General features: G+C 46.6%; 1 protein-coding gene across 2 annotated transcripts in view, besides 1 other annotated feature; it reads left to right on the top strand.

The window, feature by feature from the left end:
* Positions 1 to 20,530, top strand: part of XKR6 (XK related 6) — a 305,789-nt gene that overhangs the window by 186,157 nt on the left and 99,102 nt on the right. The gene's annotated exons all lie outside the window — the stretch shown is intronic.
* Positions 7,117 to 7,822: an enhancer, noted in NCBI's record as "H3K4me1 hESC enhancer chr8:10865365-10866070 (GRCh37/hg19 assembly coordinates)". NCBI's record gives its function as "activates a minimal SCP1, AML or CMV promoter by ChIP-STARR-seq in primed H9 embryonic stem cells {active_cell/tissue: H9 hESC(primed)}" and the evidence as "EXISTENCE:reporter gene assay evidence [ECO:0000049][PMID:30033119]".

The raw sequence follows: 20,530 nt of genomic DNA, 5'->3' as shown, positions 1-20,530 counted from the left end.
TCTTTGGAGGGCCTGGGGGGCGCTGGGTCCCGAACGCAGCCAGCCCCGCTTCTTGCCTGAGGCCGGAGAAGCCCAGAGCCCCCTGGCTTCAGACACTCATCCCCTCGGTCAGACCTGGCCGGCTTTCTCTGCCAGCGTCCCCCTCTCCTCCCTCTTCCCCTAACTCTCTTCAGAGTCCCTCCCCGAGGTGGGGGTGGGGGGTGGTTTCTAGCAGATGTGGGAGTTCCGGGCAAAGAAGCCTCCAGTGCGTTTAGACACGTCCTTGTTGCTATAAATATTCTCCTTCCCCTAAACCTTTCCTAAATAATCTCAAAAATCTGGACCGAAAAAAAAAATTAATCCCTCTTTCCAGAGAGTTGGGCATCCCGGATGTGCTCAGAAGAGTAAAAATAAAAGTGCAGCATGAGAGGATTTCAGAGCAATGCTAAGGAAGTTGAAATTGGAACTAAAAGAATTTGGGTTACTTAAAAAAAAAAAAAAAGTGCAGCTCACAGCATTTCCCGAGTGAACACGGCCAGATGCAGGGCACCCATATCACGCGATCAGAGGCGCCCCCAAGCGCCTCCTCCCAACCCAGGTCCCGGCTTCCCTGATCGTAGATGAGTTTTGTCTGTTCTGGGAATCTGAGGGAACAGAATCATCAGTCCCTGTCCTCTCACGTCTGCTTCTTCGGCTCAGCATCTTGTTGGCAAGTTCCATCTGCGTTTTGCCTGTGGCTGAAGATGATTTGGAATTTGGATAACCTTCTGATGAAGACATAGCTTTTCTCTCTGAGACAGTGGAGGGGCAGCAGTGTGGGTCCATCTTGTCTTGGATTCATGTTTTTCATTATTAATTTTGGATTCAGGGGGTACGCGTGCAGGTTTGTTACATGGGTATGTTGCGGGATGCTGAGGTTTGGGGACCCGGAGGTCCCAAAAGGGCTTTTTCTCACGGTCTTCTGGGTCTTATGACTAACAGAGGATCCACGCTGCTACCCATGAGGCAAAGGCTTTGCCCCATATCTGTGTTGAGTGATCCTCAATCATGGGACCTACATTTTGTTAGCAAATTGCCTTTCCTTTCCCCCAGGGAAGACTTTGAGCTGAGACTAAACCTGGGAAGGTGCTGCTGAAAAGCTGTTGGGGGAACCTGCCTGCACCTCCTGGCCTCCAGGAGGGAACCCATAGGAAAGGGGAGGCTCCAACCTTACTGGAAGTGTTTGCAGGGCCTGTTGTGTAATTAGTGTCCTTGGGGAGCCCGCAGGGGGTTTTCCTGCCTTTACGGAAGGATCATTCACAGGCCAGCACAGGTTAATAGTTTTCCTTTAGAAACTTTCCTTTTGTGGTTGGTCCTGTGCCTGCTTTTGAAAATCTGGTCATTTTTAAAACAGTTTTTCCAGAAGGGGCGCTAAGGGCCGCTACACTCCTTTGGAGTCTTTTCTTCCTCACACTTAATAAAGATTGAGATTACATAGGGAGGATGAATGCTTAGGGGCTCTGAAAATATGGATTATGCAAATGAGCTATTTAAGGACCTTTAAAAATGCTGACCCGGTACCAGAGTATTTACTGGCTGTTAAAAAATGTGGATTGTCTAAATGGGCATTTGGGGACCTTTAAACACAGATTATGATGGATCTAGAGAGCCTAACAAATCCCTTCTGGCCCGTTAGGCCTGTCTGCCGTGCGAGTAAAGGCACGTTTGGACAAAGCTGACTTTTTAACGCAGTGACTGGGAATGGATTTGGGTCTGTCCTGCGGGCCTGGATGTTGGTGGCTTCACAGGGACCCTCCCATGAGGGGCTCCGGTACAGGTGGGCTGGAAGGCAGGGCCGTGGTCAGGATGACTCAAGAGGTCCCAGGACTTCACACAGCAAATTCCTTCTGTGTAAGGAACCCTGCTGAAGTAGGTTTTGACTTTTGTTTAATTCATTCTGCCAAACATGGGTGGGGAATTGGTATAAACATGAAGGTGCTGGTTTCCAAACCAGCTAGGGGAGGCCCTCCCATCCCCGCTAATTCTAGGAGCACTCAATTAATGGATGGGGACATTCCCACCAGCAACACAGATCCGGGGCCAGATCTAGGCACTGCAATTTTTAAAAAGGGGGCGTATTATATTATGTGTCTCAATGAATTTGTGGCAACAAATTGCTGGTACAAAGACAGTTAAGTCCTTTGCCATCTGGAACCCACCTCTGCCAGGCTGACCCAGACAGAGTCCCTAGAGGCAGCTGGGGAAACCTAACACATATCTCAAATAAACATGAGAGCCGGCATCCTGAAGCTTCACCTCTGTGGCCCTCAGGGTTCATGTTCTTAGATCTCACTTTGTGATGGGCTAAAGTAAACCTTCCTCCTGTCTCTCCTCTCCTCTCCTTAAAGGAGAAACCTTTAGAAAACCACATGGTGGTGAAGGTCAGCCTCCTCAGCCTCATCTTAGAGACCATGGGCAAGTCCTTCAACCTGTCCAAGCCATGGTGCCCTTGTCTGTACAATGAAGATATAGATGGTATCTGCTCTTAGGGTCACTATGAGGATTAAATGCCTCATGGTGTTAAGGGCTTAATACATGTTAGCTTGGAAACTCCTGTTCTCATCTGAGCTTGGCACCCAACCTGCTGTGTGACCTTGGGAAATTCACTTCCCCTCCCTGGGCCTCGTTTCATCTTCAAGCCGAAGGATAAGGCATGTCTACAGGCAAATATCTTGTTAGAGCTCTCATGACTCTTACATGCCAAGATACTACAACTTGGCAAGACACCACCTTTTTCCTTGGGGTATCTGGGATGTCAGCAAGGCATTGGACGAAAAGTGTCCTGAAAGTGCAGAAGCTTGTTAGAATGGAGTTGCATTTATTATGGCCATTGATTAGACATGGCCTGACATGGGATAAAATGTATTAGTTTGTGGCAGTTAATGAGCTGTTAGTGTACTTCTGGATGTGTTACATCGGGGCCAGGATGAATCCAAAGAAAAGATTAAAACAAGATTAGCCCAGAAAAAAGGAGGGGATGCAGATTGGAGGAAAAGGAGAGGACAGTGGAGGGGGCCTGCAAGCTAGGGGGAGGTGAGGGGGGCACTTTTTCTATAGTTTACATTTCCCAGCTCTTTTCCTCCCCCATGGTACTGGAAATGTCTGGGTAGACTAGGGATGTAGCCAGGGACTGCTGTCGATGGTGATGGTGATGGTGATGATAATAGCAGCCGTAACAACTACACTCACAATGATAGATACTAACAGTTATTGAACTCCTGCCACATGCAAATGGTGTTATGAACACTTTACATGTATTAACTCATTCAGTTTTTCTTAAGATATAGGTGCTGTCATTATCCCCATTTTACAAATAAGAAATGGAGAGCCAGAAAGGTTAGGTAACTTGCCAGGTTAAATTTATCTGCATAGCAGTTCCCTAGCAGCTGAGGTCCCAAAGGGGCTTGGGGGTTCATTACTGCCCCTTCTGTCCCCATGCTGGCTGTCAGGGCTGGGGAGTGGGGTGGGGTCCTGTGACCTGAATGACAGATGAGTGGTAGCTTCTGCAGTGCTGGCCCTGGGCACAGTTGAGGTAGGCGGACTCCTCCATCTGCTTAGATGGGGACTGCGAGGCCCTGCCTGTTGTGTCCCAAATTCTCCTCTTCAGAGTCCTTAGTGGGGCTGAGAATAGCTCAGGGCTCCTGTCACAGACATGTGGACACCCCACCTGTGGAAGCATTTTGGCTCATTTGTTCCCTGCCACCTCCTGCACCATCTCCAAGCTTGTGGCTTCCAGCAGGTGCACACCTGAGCTGCCACACTGCACTGGCCTCCCTCCCTCATGCTATCCCCCTCCCCAGTGCCATGTGCTGCCCTGCAGTGGACCCAGAAGCAAGTCCCAGCTCTTAGCTCAATGGCTTCTGCCTGAAATATTCTTCTCCTGTCACTCCCACAACCAGTTCCCTTCCTCCTTCAGCTCTTTACTCAAACATCTTTTGAGGCCTTCCCGCATCGCAGCCTCTGTCCCCAGGCATTCCCTGTCCCTTTCCCTGCTCTATCCTTCTCTGCAACACTTATTGCCATCTCTATTACTTACCTATTTGTTTGCTGTCTCTTTCGTGTTAGATTAAGTTCCACATAGCCAGAGGTTTTTGTCCTGTTTCTTCTCTGCTGTTTTCTTAGTGTCTGGAATAGACGTGGCACTTAGAAGAAACTCTGTAAATATTTGTTGAATGAATGAATGAACAAATAAAAAATGAAGGAAAATGTTCAGGACCCTCCTCAGCCTGGTGCTCACCTGCTTTCCAGCCTCGTCCGCTGTGTACCTGTACCCTTCTGGTGACAGCCTATCCACTCTGTCACTGCAGAGCAGGATGCCACCTCCCCCGGGAAGCCTTGCTGGCCACCCCAAGAAGGGCTTCCTTTCTGGTGGTTCCTGTGCCTCTCCTGCGTGCTGTGTGATGGCACTGATGTCACTGTATTGTTGAAATGCTTGTTTCTGTGCTAGTCCATTCCTGTAGGTGGGGACTCCTTGAAGCAGGGACAGTGATGTAGGGAAAGGAGCATGAGTTTGGAGCCAAGTTCAAATCCCAGCTCTGCTGATGACTGCTGTAGGACTTCAGGCAAGTTACTGAGCTGGCCCAAGCCTCAGCTTTCTCATCTGTTAAACAGGGATAATAATAATCTTGACTGATTGGGTTGCTGAGAGATGCGGAGACAATGTATACAGTGTGCTCAGCAAAATACCTGGCATAGAGAAGGCGGTCCTGGCCCTGGGCACAGTTGACATAACCAGCGGTCACATGAGTGAAAAGGAGACACATCACTCAAGCCAGTCTTCAGCCCCACTCATACCACGACTGTGGTGGGGAGCTCCGTTCTTTGCCTCTTGTGACTTCCTGGTTTAACTTTGTGTCAATGTCATGACAGGAAAAAAAAAAAAGGTGGGGAGGGGCCACTGTTTTAGAAAAAAAGGTAGTAAAGAAGACTGTCAATGAAATGGAAAGCACGAATCTTGGAACTGGGGGAAAAGTTGTTTTAAAGCTATAAAAATCATTTTGTGGAAAATTACGAAATGTTGAATATTGACTGGTTGTTATTTGTTATTATAATAAATCAAAGATAGATTTCTTGGTTGGGATTTTAAAAACAAATGTCTGATGAGTGTCAGTTGTGTGCTAGGCATTGTGCTAGGGCATTGTGCCTGTGTTGCATTACTCAGTAGTCACACCAACCCATGAGGCAGGTACTGTTGTCTCATTTTATAAACAAGAAAATGAGGCTTAGAGAAGGGAAGTCATTTGCCCAAAGTCATACCACTAATAAGTGCCTGGGACCAGTTTTTACTATTACTATTATTATTGGTATGGTTTGGATTTGTGTTCCTGCCCAATTCTCATGTCAAATTGTAATTCCCAATGTTGGAAGAGGGGCCCGGTGGGAGGTTATTGGATCATGGGGGTGGACTTCCCCCTTGCCAGTCTTGTGATAGCAAGTGAGTTCTCATGAAATCTGGTTGTTTGAAAGTGTGTAGCACCTCCTGCTTCTCTCTCTTCCTCCTGTTGTGGCCATATAAGAGATGACTACTTCCTTTCACCTTTCACCTTCCACCATGATTGTAAGCTTCCTGAGGGCTCCTCAGCCTTGCTTCCTGTACAGTCTGCAGAACCAAGAGCCAATTAAACCTCTCTTCTTTATAAATTACCCATTCTCAGGTAGTTCTTTATAGCAATGTGAGAACAGACTAATACAATTATTTTATTTTTGATAAACACTTTAATTTAGAACAGTTTTAGATTTATAGAATTGTTACAAAGGTGTTACAGAGAGTTCCCCTACACTCCATACCATTTCCACTCTTAATACTTCACATTAGTGGGGAACATTTGTCAATGATTAATGAAGTAATATTGATACATTAGTGTTAATTAAAGTCCATGCTTTATTCAGATTTCCTTAGTTTTCCCTGATGTCCTTTCTTCTGTGCCAGAACACCTTCCAGGATGCCATCATGTCTCCACAGACTCCTCTAGATTCTGGTAGTTTCTCAGACTTTTCTTGTTTTTGATAAGCTTGACAGTTTTGAGTGCTGGTTAGACATTTTACAGAAGATCTGGGACCAGTTTTGAACCCAAATTTGTCTTAGTTCTAAGCTCATGCTATCTCCATCAAACCTATAACTATTTTTTGGTTGTGTTTTGCCTTTTTTTGAGACAGGATCTCACTCTCTCACCAAGGCTGGAGTACAATGGTATGATCTCTTCTCTGCAGCCTCAACTTCCCCAGGCTCAGGTGATCCTGCCACCTCAGCCTCCCAAGTAGCTGGGACTACAGGCACACACCACCATGTCTGACTAATTTTTGTATTTTTTGTAAAGACAGGGTCTCTCCATGTTACCCAGGCCGGTCTTGAACTCCTGGGCTCAAGCAATCTGCTCACCTTGGCCTCCCAAATTGCTGGGATTACAGGTGTGAGTCACCATGCCCGGCCAAACCCTATACCTTTTCAATGAGAGGGCGAAAGAGACATGCACCACTTACACACACGGAACTTGATTGATTGATTGATTGACTATGGAATGATTAGCTAAAGATCAAGAAGCTCCAGAACAGGACCTCCCACCCCCCTCCCCACACAGCTGCTGACTACCCAGGAGAGGTGTAATTTGGGGCCTGGCTTTTTGTCTGTGGTAACAACACCCCTATATGCCACTTTAGACAACAATCTAAAAGGAAAGGATCCTTCAGGTCCTTGCTCTTTCTGAGTTGGAAGACCTTTGTGCATGTCAAGAGATTTCCCTCAGCCTTGGTAGAGGGTGATGGGACCCAGGCTGTAAGAGCCCTAGCAAGCTACAGTGGTTGCAGGGCCTCATGCTCCTTGGGCGGGGGGGCCTGCAACCAATGGCATTCAGTGATATGAGCGCTTGACCGTGGCTCCATCAGGGCTCCTGGAAGCACTCAGCCCAGACATGTGTCCACCGGTGAACCCTTTGGAAAGTCTGGGGAGGCCGGGGTGGTGGTTCACACCTGTAATCCCAGCACTTTGGGAGGGCGAGGCAGGTGGATCATTTGAACCCAAGAGTTTGAGCCCAACCTGGGTAATGGGGTCGTATGTACTAAAAAAAGAAAAAATTAGCCAGGCATGGTGGCATGCACCTGTGGTCCCAGCTACTTAGGAGCCTGAAATGGGAGGATGGCTTAAGCCCAGGAGTTGCAGGTTGCAGTGAGCAAAGATTGTGCCTCTGCGTTCCAGGCTGGGTGACAAAGCGAGACCCTGTCAAAAAAAAAAAAAAAAAAAAAAGCCTGGGGAGCCCCCTTTAGGGGATGCGTCCAGCCTGAGGAAGAGGGGAACAAAGAAGGAAAGAAGGCCTGGCTGTAGTCTGTGGACTTTTCATGCACTGCCTACCTGCCTCAGTGTCCGGGTGCTCAGGCCACCCTTGGGCCTTTTTGCATCATGTTGGAGCCAAGTGGCCAGTGAGGCTGGTGGGGTGGGATGGATTGGGGAAGACAAGCTAGAGAGATTGGGCTTCATTCTGTAGACAGCAGAAGCCACCGAGGGTATTTGAGCAGGACAGGGCATCGTGAGAGTAAAAGGAAAGAGTAAACGTGGCAGCCTTCCCCCAGGTGCACAGGTGAGGTCCTTCACTGCCTTGCCCCTGTGTGAACGCCTGAATGCTACAGTCAAAAAAAAGCAAACGCCTGCTTCCCTGTCTTCTCTCCCAGGGAGCACCCACACATCCAGGTCTCGCCCCATGCTGCTTTGCTCTGCTCTGCTCTGCCCTGCCCTCCCCCCACTCTGCCCCTGCCATCTGCTTCCAAGGGCTCAAGCTCCCTGCCTGCTTGTTGTGCACTCCCGAATTTTACCTCTCCTACCGCTAGGAAAAGATACAAGCCCAGAGAGGAGAAGGGGAGCTGCAGGAAGCCAGGGGACACCAGAGATAGACTGCAGGCACCTTGCCCTGCTGCCTCTGTTCCTCCACCCCCAACCCTTACAGCAACCAGGAGTAGGTAAGATCTGGGTAGATTTCCTTTTGCTTTTTTGTTTGTTTGTTTGTTTCCTGCCTCTTCCACCGAGTGTGCTTTGTTTTGAGAGGGAAGAGCTGACTCCTCCAGTCTGCCTTCCTCTGTGGGTCAGGCATAATCTGTGCTGCACGTGACTCATCAGTATTGATGGCGATGATGAGGAGAGATGAATGGAAACGACATTACTGGCTGTGTTTCTTCGTCCATGCGAGAGGCCGCAGTGGAGGTCTGTTGCTGTAGGCATGATTTTGGCTTTTAGGCATCAGATGATCCTTGAGACCCAGGCTTTGCTGCTGAGCGACAGAAGCTTGCACATTAGCCCCTAGTCTTGAGGCAGGGATATTGCTTAAGATGCACTTGGCTGCAAGGAACTGAATGCTGAAGAGAGGCTCAAAAACAAAGGCATTTAACTATCATACATGACAAGACACTGGAGATGGACAATGCCAAGAATGGTCTAGCCATTCCAAAGTGTTTGGATGTTGAATTCCTATCTCTATGACTCTCCTGACCTATCCCTCATGGTCATACATTGGCTGCCACAGCTCCAAGCATCAGAACAGCATCCCAGGCTGGAGGCAAGAAGACAGATACAACAAGACTTTTTTTTGTAGCAGCTCTTTCCTCTTATTCAGGAATTAAATCCTGATCAGAAGCCAACTGGTAGGGTTCCTCTTGGGGTCCATTACCCAGAATTTGGTCTTATGTCTGTCCCTACGCTAATCATTAGTAAAGGGAAACAGGATGAACTGCTTGACTTGGACCAATCATATTCACGCCCTGAGGCTAGGGAAAGAATCTACACTCTGTGTTGCAGCTAGAATAGAGATGGGCTTCTATAAACAAAGAGAGAGGAGGCAGCTGGTAGCTGGTAGGGTAACCTGCAGCGGCAGCCACAGGGAACTCCATATCCAGCTAGAGAGAGCCATCTGGCTTGGTCTGTAAGGTCTCCAAGGACAGAAATCCTACAAATTCTGTTTGTAATGGCCCACTTAGCTCTCTGGGTCCTCTGAGCCTTTGCACATGCTATTCCCTCTGCTTGGAACACCAAGCCTCACTGCCCTGGGCCCAGCCTGCATGTCTGCAGACACCAGCAATGCAGGGACATTGTCTTCACTCTGTGTGTACCCACAACCCTGTTCATCTACAGATGCCTTACTCTATTCCACTTGGTGGTTTACTTTTCTGTCTCTCATCAATAGAATATACATCCTCACAGGACAGAAAAAGTATGTTGGTCATTGATGTCTCCAATGACTGGCATGTCTCAGACATGCAACATACGATAAGGGATGGATAGTGACAATTGTGACCATAGGGGCAGCACACTGTTCCCTCCACCCTAATAATACCCAGGCAGAAGGCCTCCTCTCAGTGCCACATTGTCCACAGTAGGCGCTGAATGAAGGAATCAGTGTCCTACTAGGCCACTAACTGGCTCTTCTGCTTCCATTTGTTCTCTCCCCAGCTCATTTCTCACCCTACTCTCTAGTGAATCAATCACCAATTAATCTCTTATTTTTCTTTCTCTCCTCTTTAATTGAAAAATTTTTAGTCAGTCACAGTGGTTCACGCCTGTAATCGCAGCACTTTGGGAGGCCGAGGCGGGCGGATCACTTGAGGTCAGGAGTTCGAGACCAGCCTGGCCACCATGGTGAAACCCCGTCTCTACTGAAAGTACAAAAATTATCCAGGCGTGGTAGCGGGCATCTGTAATCCCAGCTACTCGGGAGGCTGAGGCACGAGAATAGTTTGCACCCAGAAGGCAGACTGTGCAGTGAGCTGAGAATGTGCCACTATGCTCTAGCCTGGGCAAAAGAGGGAGACTCCATCTCAAAAAAAAAAAAAAAAAAAGAAAGAAAGAAAAAATATTTTTATTATATATGTCTATCATACAAACCTTGAAAACTGTAGATATGAAAAAGAGGAAAATAAAATATAATCTCAGCATTCAGAGATAGCCACTGTTTAAATTTGATTCCTATCTTATAATATTTTTGCTAGCAAATTCATATATAAAATGGGATTACAATGTGATGTATTTTTCCTTAACGAACACATCGTACCATATTTGCATGTTAATACACACTCGTATCATCATATTTCATTGTGGGAAATTATAAATAACAGAAAACTTCCCATTTTAACAATTTTTAAGTGTACAGTTCAGTGGCATTGAGTACATCCATGGTGTTGTACAACCATTACCACCGTCCATTTCCAGAACATTTTCATCTTCCCAAATGGAAACTCCATGCCCATTAAATAACTGCTCCCCATCCCACTTCCCTCCAGCCCTTCCATTGGAGATATGTATATATATATATATCTATATCTACTACAGTCACTTCTTATCCAAGATTTCACCTTATGTGGTTTTAGTTACCCAAGGTCAACCATAGTCCAAAAATATTAAATGGGAAATTCTGAAAATAAACAATATATGAGTTTTGAGTTGTGTGCCATGTTGAGCAGCATGATGAAATCTTGCGTCATTCTGCTTGGGATGTGAATCATCCCTTTGTTCCACGTATGTATGCTGGACACACTACCTGCCCTATACAATGTGACTGTATGAGAAAAAAACTTAGTATATATAGAGTTCTGTACCATCTGTGGTTTCAGGCATCCACTGAAACGTATCTCCCATGGATAAGGTTGCAGAGGGACTGTACCACATTCTGTTCTACTTTCTGTTCCTATGAATTTGACTACTCTTGGTACGTCATTTAAGTAGAATCATACAATTTCTGTCTTTATGTGATTGGCTGATTTCATTTAGCATAAGGTCTGCAAGGTTCATCCATGTTGTAGCATGGGCCAGAATTTCTTTCCTTTTTAAGGCTGAATAATGTTTCATCATGTGTGTAAACTACACGTTTATCCATTCATTGTTTGATGGACACTTGGGTTGTCTCCACCTTTTGGCTATTGTGAATAATGTTGTTGTGAACATGGATATACAATTATCTGTTTGAGTCCCTGCTTTTAATTATTTGGGATATAGCTTCAGAAGAGGAATTGCTGGCTCATAGATATAATTTTTAATAACTGCAGAGGGTTCCACTGTGGATGAGCAACAAGTTTTGTTTAACCAGCTCCCTGTTGCTGGCCTGGTAGGCAGTTGCTACTTTTTGTAAACATCAGGATAATAAACCACCTGGTCAATATATCTTTGTCCCACCGGAGCTTTATTTTTTATTTATTTATTTATTTATTTTTGAGATGGACTCTCACTGTGTCGCCTAGGCTGAAGTGCAGTGGCGTCATGATCTCGGCTCACTGCAACCTCCGCCTCCTGGGTTCAAGTGATTCTTCTGCCTCAGCCTCTTAAGTAGCTGGTATTGCAGGTGTGCGCCAACATGCCCGGTTAATTTTTGTATTTTTAGTAGAGATGAGGTTTCACCATGTTTGTCAGGCTGGTCTCGAACTCCTGACCTCATGATCCACCTGCCTCAGCCTCCCAAAGTGCTGGGATTACAGGCGTGAGCCACCACGCCCGGCCCCACAGGAGCTTTTTAACATAGACTTGAGCATTTCACTGCCCCAGCCCAAGACTCCCAGGGCTCCTCATAACTCCCAGACTTCGCTCCATCTCTGCAGCTCAGGGCTCAGTGGACAAGGTCCTCATGTTCTAGTCCTGCTGTCGCTGCTCTGCTCACTCACTCTTGTGATGCCCCAGGACCCACTACTCCACAGCCACCCGCCCTTCCTTCGCCACTCTCTGCTTTTGCACCTGCTGTCTCCTCTCCTTGAAGTATATGGCCATCCCTCTTCCCACCAGGAGAACTTGAAAGCCCTCTGGACGGTTCACCTGGACTCTTTTCTCCCTTGGGAACCTTTTGCTCTCATCACAGGCAGAATTAACCACACCCTTCTCTGTCCTCCATACATATGCCTGTTAGAGCATTTATTATGTGTTAGCATAATTATTTGTTGATGGAGACAGCTTGGAATGACAGAAAGAGGGCAGAGTCTGTAGTCCAAAAGACCTGCTCCAGAATCCCAGTTCTTACAGTTTGACTTTGAGCAGGCTGCATGGCTTCTCTGAGCCTCACTTTGCATTTGTAAAATGAAGATAATAATTCCTACTTTAAAAGGATTATTTGAGGATTAAAGACAATGTATTCCCCAGTACTTACACAGATTAGGTATAATAGTATTAGTATCAGTCTGGTAGCTATGACAGTGATGACTGACACTGGTGAAGATGGTGATGGTGGTGGTTGATGGTGATGATAGTGACTATGATTGTGGTGATGGTGATGATGTTGATGATAATTATGATAATGGTGATAATGATGACATTGTTAGTGATGTAATGACGATGATGGTAGTGATGATGGTGAGAATGGCTGTGATGATAATGATGGTGGTGGTGGTGATGGTGGTGATGATGAGGTGGTGGTGATGATGATGGTGTTGACAATGATGTTGTACTTGTTCTTCTGTTAGAACCTGATCACTACAATGCCAGGTGGTGTGCAGCTTCATCTGTGCCTCCTTGGTGTCTGACATAGAGTACGTACTCTATTATTTCAAGGCTCACCTGCTTTGGCAGGTGGTGGGTTGATGCTTCCTGAATTAACCTGGTTGGCTGAACCTTCCTTCTGAGTCCTCCCCAGTTGCAAATTTTGTGAGCTGAAGCAGGGAGTGTCCCTGACTTGGAATTGTTAGATTGGAGGTTTTTTTTTTTCAGTGGTCCCCTTAGCCAGTGACCCCCCTTCTCTGGGCTTTGGTGCCCCAACAAGGGCCTCCTATCCAACATCTGATTCAACATCATGATTTTCATTCAGAAGTGCCTTGCTCTGTAACCATACCCAGATTATTTCCACCGGTGACTTTTATATCCCATCTGGAATAAACATCAGCACCTGAGGAGGGAGACTGTGTTTATTTCCCTTCTATCTCCTTTCTGCAGTACCATCCTTAGCACTGAGCCCGCACCTTGTCTATGATGGTGGTGGAAGAAGACAATGCTTGGGGCCGTTGAACTCGCACCACCCCCTGGGCCTGGGCCATCCCATGGTTGGCGTGGTGAGAATGATGACTTGTCACGTCTGTGTCCCCCATCAGGCATATTACCAAAGGCCTTCCTGTGCTGGCTGGGAGGGTGACCAGATGGCAAAGCCCCGCCCAGCCACAGGGCTCTGGGTATGCACCACACCTTCCCCATTCCTGCTTGCTCAGTGTATCGGTTGGCTTTGATTCTTGAGTCTTTTTCTCCTGCCTTCTCCTGGAGATGAAGAGAACTGCAAACACTGTGTACTGCTGCACGCGGGCCTCCCCCAGGCCAACAGAACTGCTGGGTGAGTGCTGGCTGAGCCTTCCCCTGCAAAGGTCATGGTCCAGCCTTTCCAGGCTATGCATCTTACTTCCATTCCAGCTCTTCACATCTGATTAAAGATGAACACAGTCTTTACAATACAAGGAAAGTGTGCCATGGGATGCTTGTGGAAGTCAGAGGGGAGTGGCTTTGTGGAGGAATGGTGCTGGCCCTCTCAGGATTGGGGAGGGTGAGGCATTCACAGCAGGGTGATGCCTTTGACAAAGTGCACAGAGGCGGAAGCATTTGCACTTTCTTGGCAGGGACCTGGAAGGAGGTTTTTTGTGTGTTTTTTTTTTTTTTTTAACTCACATGGTAACGACATGGATTTGTCTTCTTAGGGCATTTCCTAAAGGAGAAGAGAAGACTTATCTCTATAATCCCATTGGCCTGGTTAGAAAACTGAGGTCTGCTGGAAGGAAGTGCTGTGGGGAGCAACGGGTATGGTGGGGCTGGAGAGGCTGAACAGCAGAGGGACCAGGGCTCTCCAAGGTCTCTCCAGGCCACAGTGAGACCAGACCCACAGCACAGTGCCGCTTGCCCCTGACCGGCAGTGAGCTGCTGGCCTGGGCTGCTCTGCCCACTGGGAGGCTGGTAGGTTCTGAAGGAGCCAGGCAGGAAGTCCTTGTGGACTTCAGCCAGCTTCTCATTAACACATGGGGCTCTCTCTGCCCCTCTGTTCTAACTCTGCCTGAGCTTTTGCGGTGCAGCAACGGCTACAACCCTCATCTCCAGGAATGGGGGGCCCTGCTGACTCTTGGGTAGTCCAGAGGCAGGGTAAGGAGAGGCCTGCCTGGCCCAGAATTGGGATCCAAGGACTGGCTATAGGGGTAGAGAGGAGTTTTTCTTTACATGTTAGACATGTTTCTGCTCAATTGGGATAAACTCCTATCTTTGCAGAGGTAATAGTTTGAATATTCGAGAGTCTAGCTGTGGTCCCTTCCTCACTGTCAACTTCAGCTTCTATTTGAGGGTGCCTCAGAGCAGTGCATTATAAAGAGGCCATTTCTTCACTAGCTGGCCCTAAACAACATTATGAAGAGGCCATTTATTCACTAGCTGGCCCTAAACAACATTATGAAGAGGCCATTTATTCACTAGCTGGCCCTAAACAAGTTAGTTTTTAGCTTTCTGAGCCTCTGTTTCTCCATCGGAAGGGGAGTTCTTCCTTCACTGAGTTGTGGTTGAGTAGGAGGAGAAAATTTGTGTATGGCACCTAACACATAGCACGTGTTCAACCAATTTTAGGATTTGGTTTCTCACTCCCCATGTGCAAAGTCATCCAATGAGGCCAGCAATTGTTCTGCATTTTCGCTCCTAAATCCAGAGTTCATACTTGAGGTTTGTTTCAGTTGGGGGTGGTGTCCACCTTCTGAATCAGAGGAAGGGGGCAGGGGACACTTGGCTGCCAGAAAAGCAAAGGCTGAGCCAAGGAAGGGGTGTAGGCATTGGTTGATGGCTGGAGGGATATACTCTCTGGACCACGTGTCCAGAAAGTGTTCGTGGAATCTCATCTGGGAATTTCCTTTCCCGGCTATGCATCTTACTTCCATTCCGGCCCTTCACATCCAGTTAAAAACAGCCTTCTCCACCATGAGAAGATGAACTAGCAGAGAGAGCTCTCGTGTAGAATCATGAGACCCCAAAACATGTAATATGTGCCTTTATTTTTATTTATTTATTTTTGAGATAGAGTCTGGCTCTCTTGCCCAGACTGGAGTGCAGTGGTGCGATCTTGGCTCACTGCAATCTCTGCCTCCTGGGTTGAAGCAATTCTCCCACCTCAGCCTCCCGAGTAGCTGGGACTACAGGCGTGTGCCACTGTGCCTGGCTAATTTTTGCATTTTTAGTAGACGGGGGTTTCACCATGCTGGCTAGGCTGGTTTCGAGCTCTTGACGTCAAGTGATGCATCCACCTCAGTTTCCCAAAGAGCTTGGATTTCAGGCATGAGCTACCACACCTGGCCTAATATGTGTCTACTGAAGTGGAATTATGTGCTCCACGAGGAAGAAAACAACATATTATGATGCATTGCTACTTGTTTCTCCTTTGCACACCATTTCAGCCTTGCAAACTGTTTCCTCACTAGAGGACACCAGTAAGGGGCTCTTTGGCTCTCCTGTCCTGTTGCCTTCTAGCTTTGAAGGAGCTTCTAGGTTCACCACCTAGAATGAGTAGAAGGAAGACAGGACCAGGGGTGAGGAAGTCTTGGTTCTTATTCAGTATTTCTTTAATAGTCTTGGTGCCTCTGAGAGAATTCATCCCATGGGTCTGTTTCTTTGTCTTTAACATGAGTGTGTTGGCTTAGGTGTTCTTCAGCCCTCCTCAAAGTGGAGTTTTGAAGTTGTCTTCACAGATGGAATGCCATTAGCCAAACCCACAGTCTGGGAAGTCATATGGAGACCGTGAAATCAAATACCTTCCTTGCCCATATTTCTCTTAATCCTTTGTTAGTTTATAAGAAACACTGGTGCTCTCCTAGTTGGTCTTAACTCTTGGCATGTGGGGAGATGCCTTCTTGACCCTGCCCCATGATTTGCATCATGGCCTGGAGCTGAGCATCTCATGCTGTCCCGAGTCACCTGCATCAACCCAACGGCATACAGAATAAGGCTCATTTCCTGATTCTTTTTATGCTACCTCCTTGTTTGGTCACATCTGCAGAACATCCTTTGTTGGAACTTTTATTTTGGTAGCTTGGTCACATCTGCAGAACATCCTTTTTTAGAACTTTTATTTTGGTTCTATAAAACCAATATATGGGAGGAGAGGATACTCCCTTCACCATAGCATTGACCAAACCCTTCTTTTCTGAAACTAGAATCTGGTGATCAGTGATTTATTTCTTGAAAAAATTTCTTCTGAAGATAAAGAAGTATATATAAAAAGAAAACTCTCACTAGTAAGTCCACTATCCAGAAACCGTCTGTCAACATTTTGCCTCATTTTATTGTAGCATTTTCATTCACATTAATGAGAACATATTCTAAATACAATTTGTATCCTGAATTTTTCTTTCAACACCATATTATGTGCATCTCCTTAGCCAACAGAATAGAATTGGAATGCCTGTGCAGTATTTTCATGCAAGAGGTGAATCATAACAGTCATTTCCTTAATGTTGGATATACAACTTGTTGCCACTTTCTCAATGGGCATAAATAATCCCACGATTGAGCCCTTCACACACATAGTGGGTCCTTAGGACTGAAATCCCTGTCCTGATATTAATGCATGCTTGATGGATTTGAAAGAATAAGGCAGCTAGACCTAGGAGGGAGAAGAAAACAAACGTTTTTGTAAGAATTTCTGTTTTCTTCCAAGCATTGAGAGGAGGGTACTTGGTCCTTTATGTTGACCCTCAGAACAATCACTGGAGCTAGGTTTTCCTGATGGGAATCTGAGACTTGGAGAGATTCAGGGGTTTGATTCTCAGGCTACACAGTTGGTCGACAGCTGTTTCAGGATTCCATCCTGGGTATATTGGGCTGCATAATTTTCTTCTCCCTTGCTGCCATGCTGCTTGGAGGCAGAAGGAACAGAATCTGTGGGATCTGGGACTGGTTGTAGGGAGCTAGTGAGTCCACCACCAAAAGGGGGTGGTCAGGTTTCAGGGGTAGGGGTGCTTCTCTGCAGAGAGCCCAGCGGAAATGGAGCTGGCTGGGAGAAGTGGAGGCAGTGAGTGTCCTAGCTGGGTGACCTGGAGAGAGCCAATCCCCTGGGGCTCAAGGCTGTCAGCCAAGGTTTGCAGCCTGCTCTGCTGGAGACAGAACCCAGGTCTCTGCCTCATCAGCTGCTGCTCTTGTCCACGCTTTGCTCTACCACTCCTAATAAATCTGAATCAAATTTTCTTGACATTATACTCATAAATTTGAAGTGGAGCTCTTACCAGGCCTGTCAGTAAGATGGAGAAGGGAGAGTGAGAAGGAGAGGTGAATTCTAGGAATTTGGGCTATTTTTAAACGCAGACTCGTTATTCTAGGGCTTGCAGGTCACTAGTACCAGAGAAGAATTCTGCAGATGTGACAGCTGGTGTTAAAACAATTAGGTTCAAAATGACAACTAAGAGGTGTGTGTGTGTGTGTATGTGTGTGTGTGTGTGTAGCCACTCCTTCTCTTTCTTCTCCTTATATTGTTGGGGAGCTTGCTTGGGAATGCCTTGTGCAAGGCTAGCTGTCTCAGTGGGAGAAGGGGTGATCTTAGAAGTGAGTGCTGGACGCTCTCTGGCGGGGGAAGCTGGCGAATCTTAGAAGTGAGTGCTGGACCCTCTCTGGGGTGAGCTGGTGACCCCCAATCCCCTGTTGTCCTGCTGCACGCATAGGTGTCTCTTCAGACCTGTTGCCTCTCCTCTGTGGCTTCAGCCTTCTCTTCTGTAAAATACAGAGTGGGGTTAGAATCTTTGTAAATTCCTCTTCAGCTATGGGAAGCATCCTGTGATTGAGACTGCAGGTGTCTCTCAGCATGCTATTTTAAGGTCAAGTTGCTTTCTTGCCTTCCCCCTCTGACCCCGGTTGTGCCTGACATTCTAGTCCACAGTTCCAGGCAGCGCTGCTTGTGAACGTGGAGTCTCTGGGAGGGATGGGAGACAGCTTTGTTTAGCTCCTGCTCCTTCCTTGTCTTCATCATTCTTCATTATCTGGACCCAATCCCCCTAGTAGTTTTAGTTGCCAGCACCTCCCACTTTAGCCTCATTGCATTTCCACACCCTCATTGCATTTCCACACGCCTCCTGCAGAGGCTCATGACTCTAGGCTGTGCCCTGGCACATTCTCTCCCCTGGAATGGCCTCCTCTCCATAACCCTCATCTCATTTGTAAGGAGAAACTCTGTACATGCATCTTAATCATTTTTTCCTATGGCTATCTCACCAGCTAGAATAAGGCAGGGTCTGTGGAATGCTCTGAGGGGGCTGAGCTCAGACCGCCACCCCTGCTCTCTGGGTTTACATCCTGGCTGCCCTATTTGTTGGCTATGTAGCCTTGGACAGCATTTGTACCCCATCTCCCCAATCTGTACAATGGAAATAGTAACAGTGGTCACCTCAAGAGGTTGTTCTGAGGATTAAAGGAGTTAAAACAGGTCAAGTTCTTGGAGCACAGAAAAAAACAGGTATGTATAAGGTGTGTTGTTGGGCTGAGCATGGTGGCTGGCATGAACTTGGTGCTCTGTGTGTCTTTGCTAGGTGGGGTCATTTATAATAAAGCATACATAAAAGCTACGAAGGTTGTACTGATGATGGAGTTTGAGAAAAGAAATAATGAGGACACTGAATGACCTTGTTGGAAAGAAGGTGCAGACGATGAGAAAGGTTGTGGCGTACATGTGTGTGTGTTTGTTGATGTGGGAGAGGGGCAGAGTTAAAAGCAGACATTTGTTGTTATTTTATTTTATTTTTTAAATAAACGCAGGGTCTCTCTCTATTGCCCAGGCTGGAGTGCAGTGGAGCCATCATAGCTCACTGCAGCCCTAGACTCCTGGGCTCAAAGCCATCCTCCTGCCTCACCCTCCTGAGCTGCTGGGACTATAGGCATGTGCCACTATGTTGCTTAGGTAGGTCTCAAACTCTTAGCCTCCAGTGATCCTCCCACCTTGGCCCCTCAAAGTGCTAGGATTACAGGCATGAACCACCATGCCGAGCCCAGACTTTTCTTGTTAGTGTCTTCTTTCCCTAAAGCCAGCCCCTTTTTTATGGACCAGAACAGTCTTCACCCAACACACCCATCCCTTACCCCTGCCCCTCACATATATTCCCATTTACGCCACTTGTAGATACAGCAGACAAAAACCTAAGAGATTGGAGCTGGGGGTGTATGGTGTTCTGTTCTTCAAAGAGGAAAATTGCAGAGAAAACCTGTAATTGGGAAAATTTTCTTTCTTGCTCTTAGCAGTATAGAGATGTGCTCTGGTCCTTCTCACTTAACTTCTGCTGCATCCAAAGAAGGTAAGAAAAAAAGCAGAACATATAAAAGCAACTGAAAGCTTTCCCTCAAATTACCTGGGAGCAGTAACAAGATATTGTCAGCAGCGGCAGAAATTACTGAACAAGGAGGAGAGGGCCCGCCAGAGCTTTTGACACCAGCTCACATGCAGCTGAGGGGGCCCACTGTTCCACACACCCCCAGGAGCACCTCTTAGTAGAAGTAAAAAAATCACAGTGGGTTACAGTGCAATATTTTGGTCAATTTCTATGAGAAAGATTATTGACCTGAGAAGTTGGTAACAGATAATGATTACTGAAGAAAAGTATTTCATTTTATAAGCATTGCTGTCTTTAAAATCCCTCTCTCCATTTATATCTATATGAATCTGTAGTGTAGAATTCCAGATCCTTGGTTGTGAAAGGCGTTATAGAGAGGATCTATTTAAATCCCTTTATATCATGTAAACAAGGAAATGGAGGCCCAACAAGAGGTGGCTTGCCCAAGGTCATGGGCCAGTATAAGTTGCAAGCCATTCGTCTGATTCAACTACAGGTGCTCAGGCCTCATCTCACCATGATGGTCTTCACCAAAGAGGAAGGATTGCCCTCTCACATTTGCAGCCTCTGGCCTGGAAGAGTCTCCTTTTCCTCCATTTACTTCACCCTCTGGCCAGGTGCAGCCTTCATCGTAGGCAGCTTTCCTGATTTCTAGTTCAGCCTTGAAAATTAATGCCCTCAATTTTTTTTTTTTTTTTTGGTGGGGAGATAGGGTCTCACTCTGTCACCCAGACTGGAGTGCAGTGGCATGATCACAGTTTACTGCAGCCTCAACCTCCCAGGCTCAAGTGATTCTCCTACCTCAGCTTCCCAAGTAGCTGGGACCACAGGCGTGTGCCACCATGCCTGGCTAATTTATATATATATGTGTGTGTGTGTATATGTGTGTGTGTATATATATATATATGATATAGGGTTTTATATGTATTATATATAATATATATATTAGATATAGGGTTATAGTAGATATAGTAAATATAGTAGATATATATATCTACTATATATATCATATACATATATCATATATAACATATATATATATGTGATATAGGGTTTCATCATGCAGTCCAGGCTGGTCCTGAACTCCTGGGTTCAAGTGATCCACCTGCTTCAGTCTCCTAAAGCACTGGGATTATAGGTGTGAGCCACCATGCCCAGCCGACACCCCAAATTTAACAGCTCACAAATGGATTTTTCCTATCTCCTGCCTCTTACCGGCATACACTGATAGATAGTAAAGGCAAAA

Source organism: Homo sapiens, chromosome 8, assembly GCF_000001405.40.
Source record: "Homo sapiens chromosome 8, GRCh38.p14 Primary Assembly".
Taxonomy (NCBI): domain Eukaryota; kingdom Metazoa; phylum Chordata; class Mammalia; order Primates; family Hominidae; genus Homo; species Homo sapiens.
Note: the sequence above shows the minus strand (reverse complement) of the source record. Positions and strands in the feature narration are given on the sequence as shown.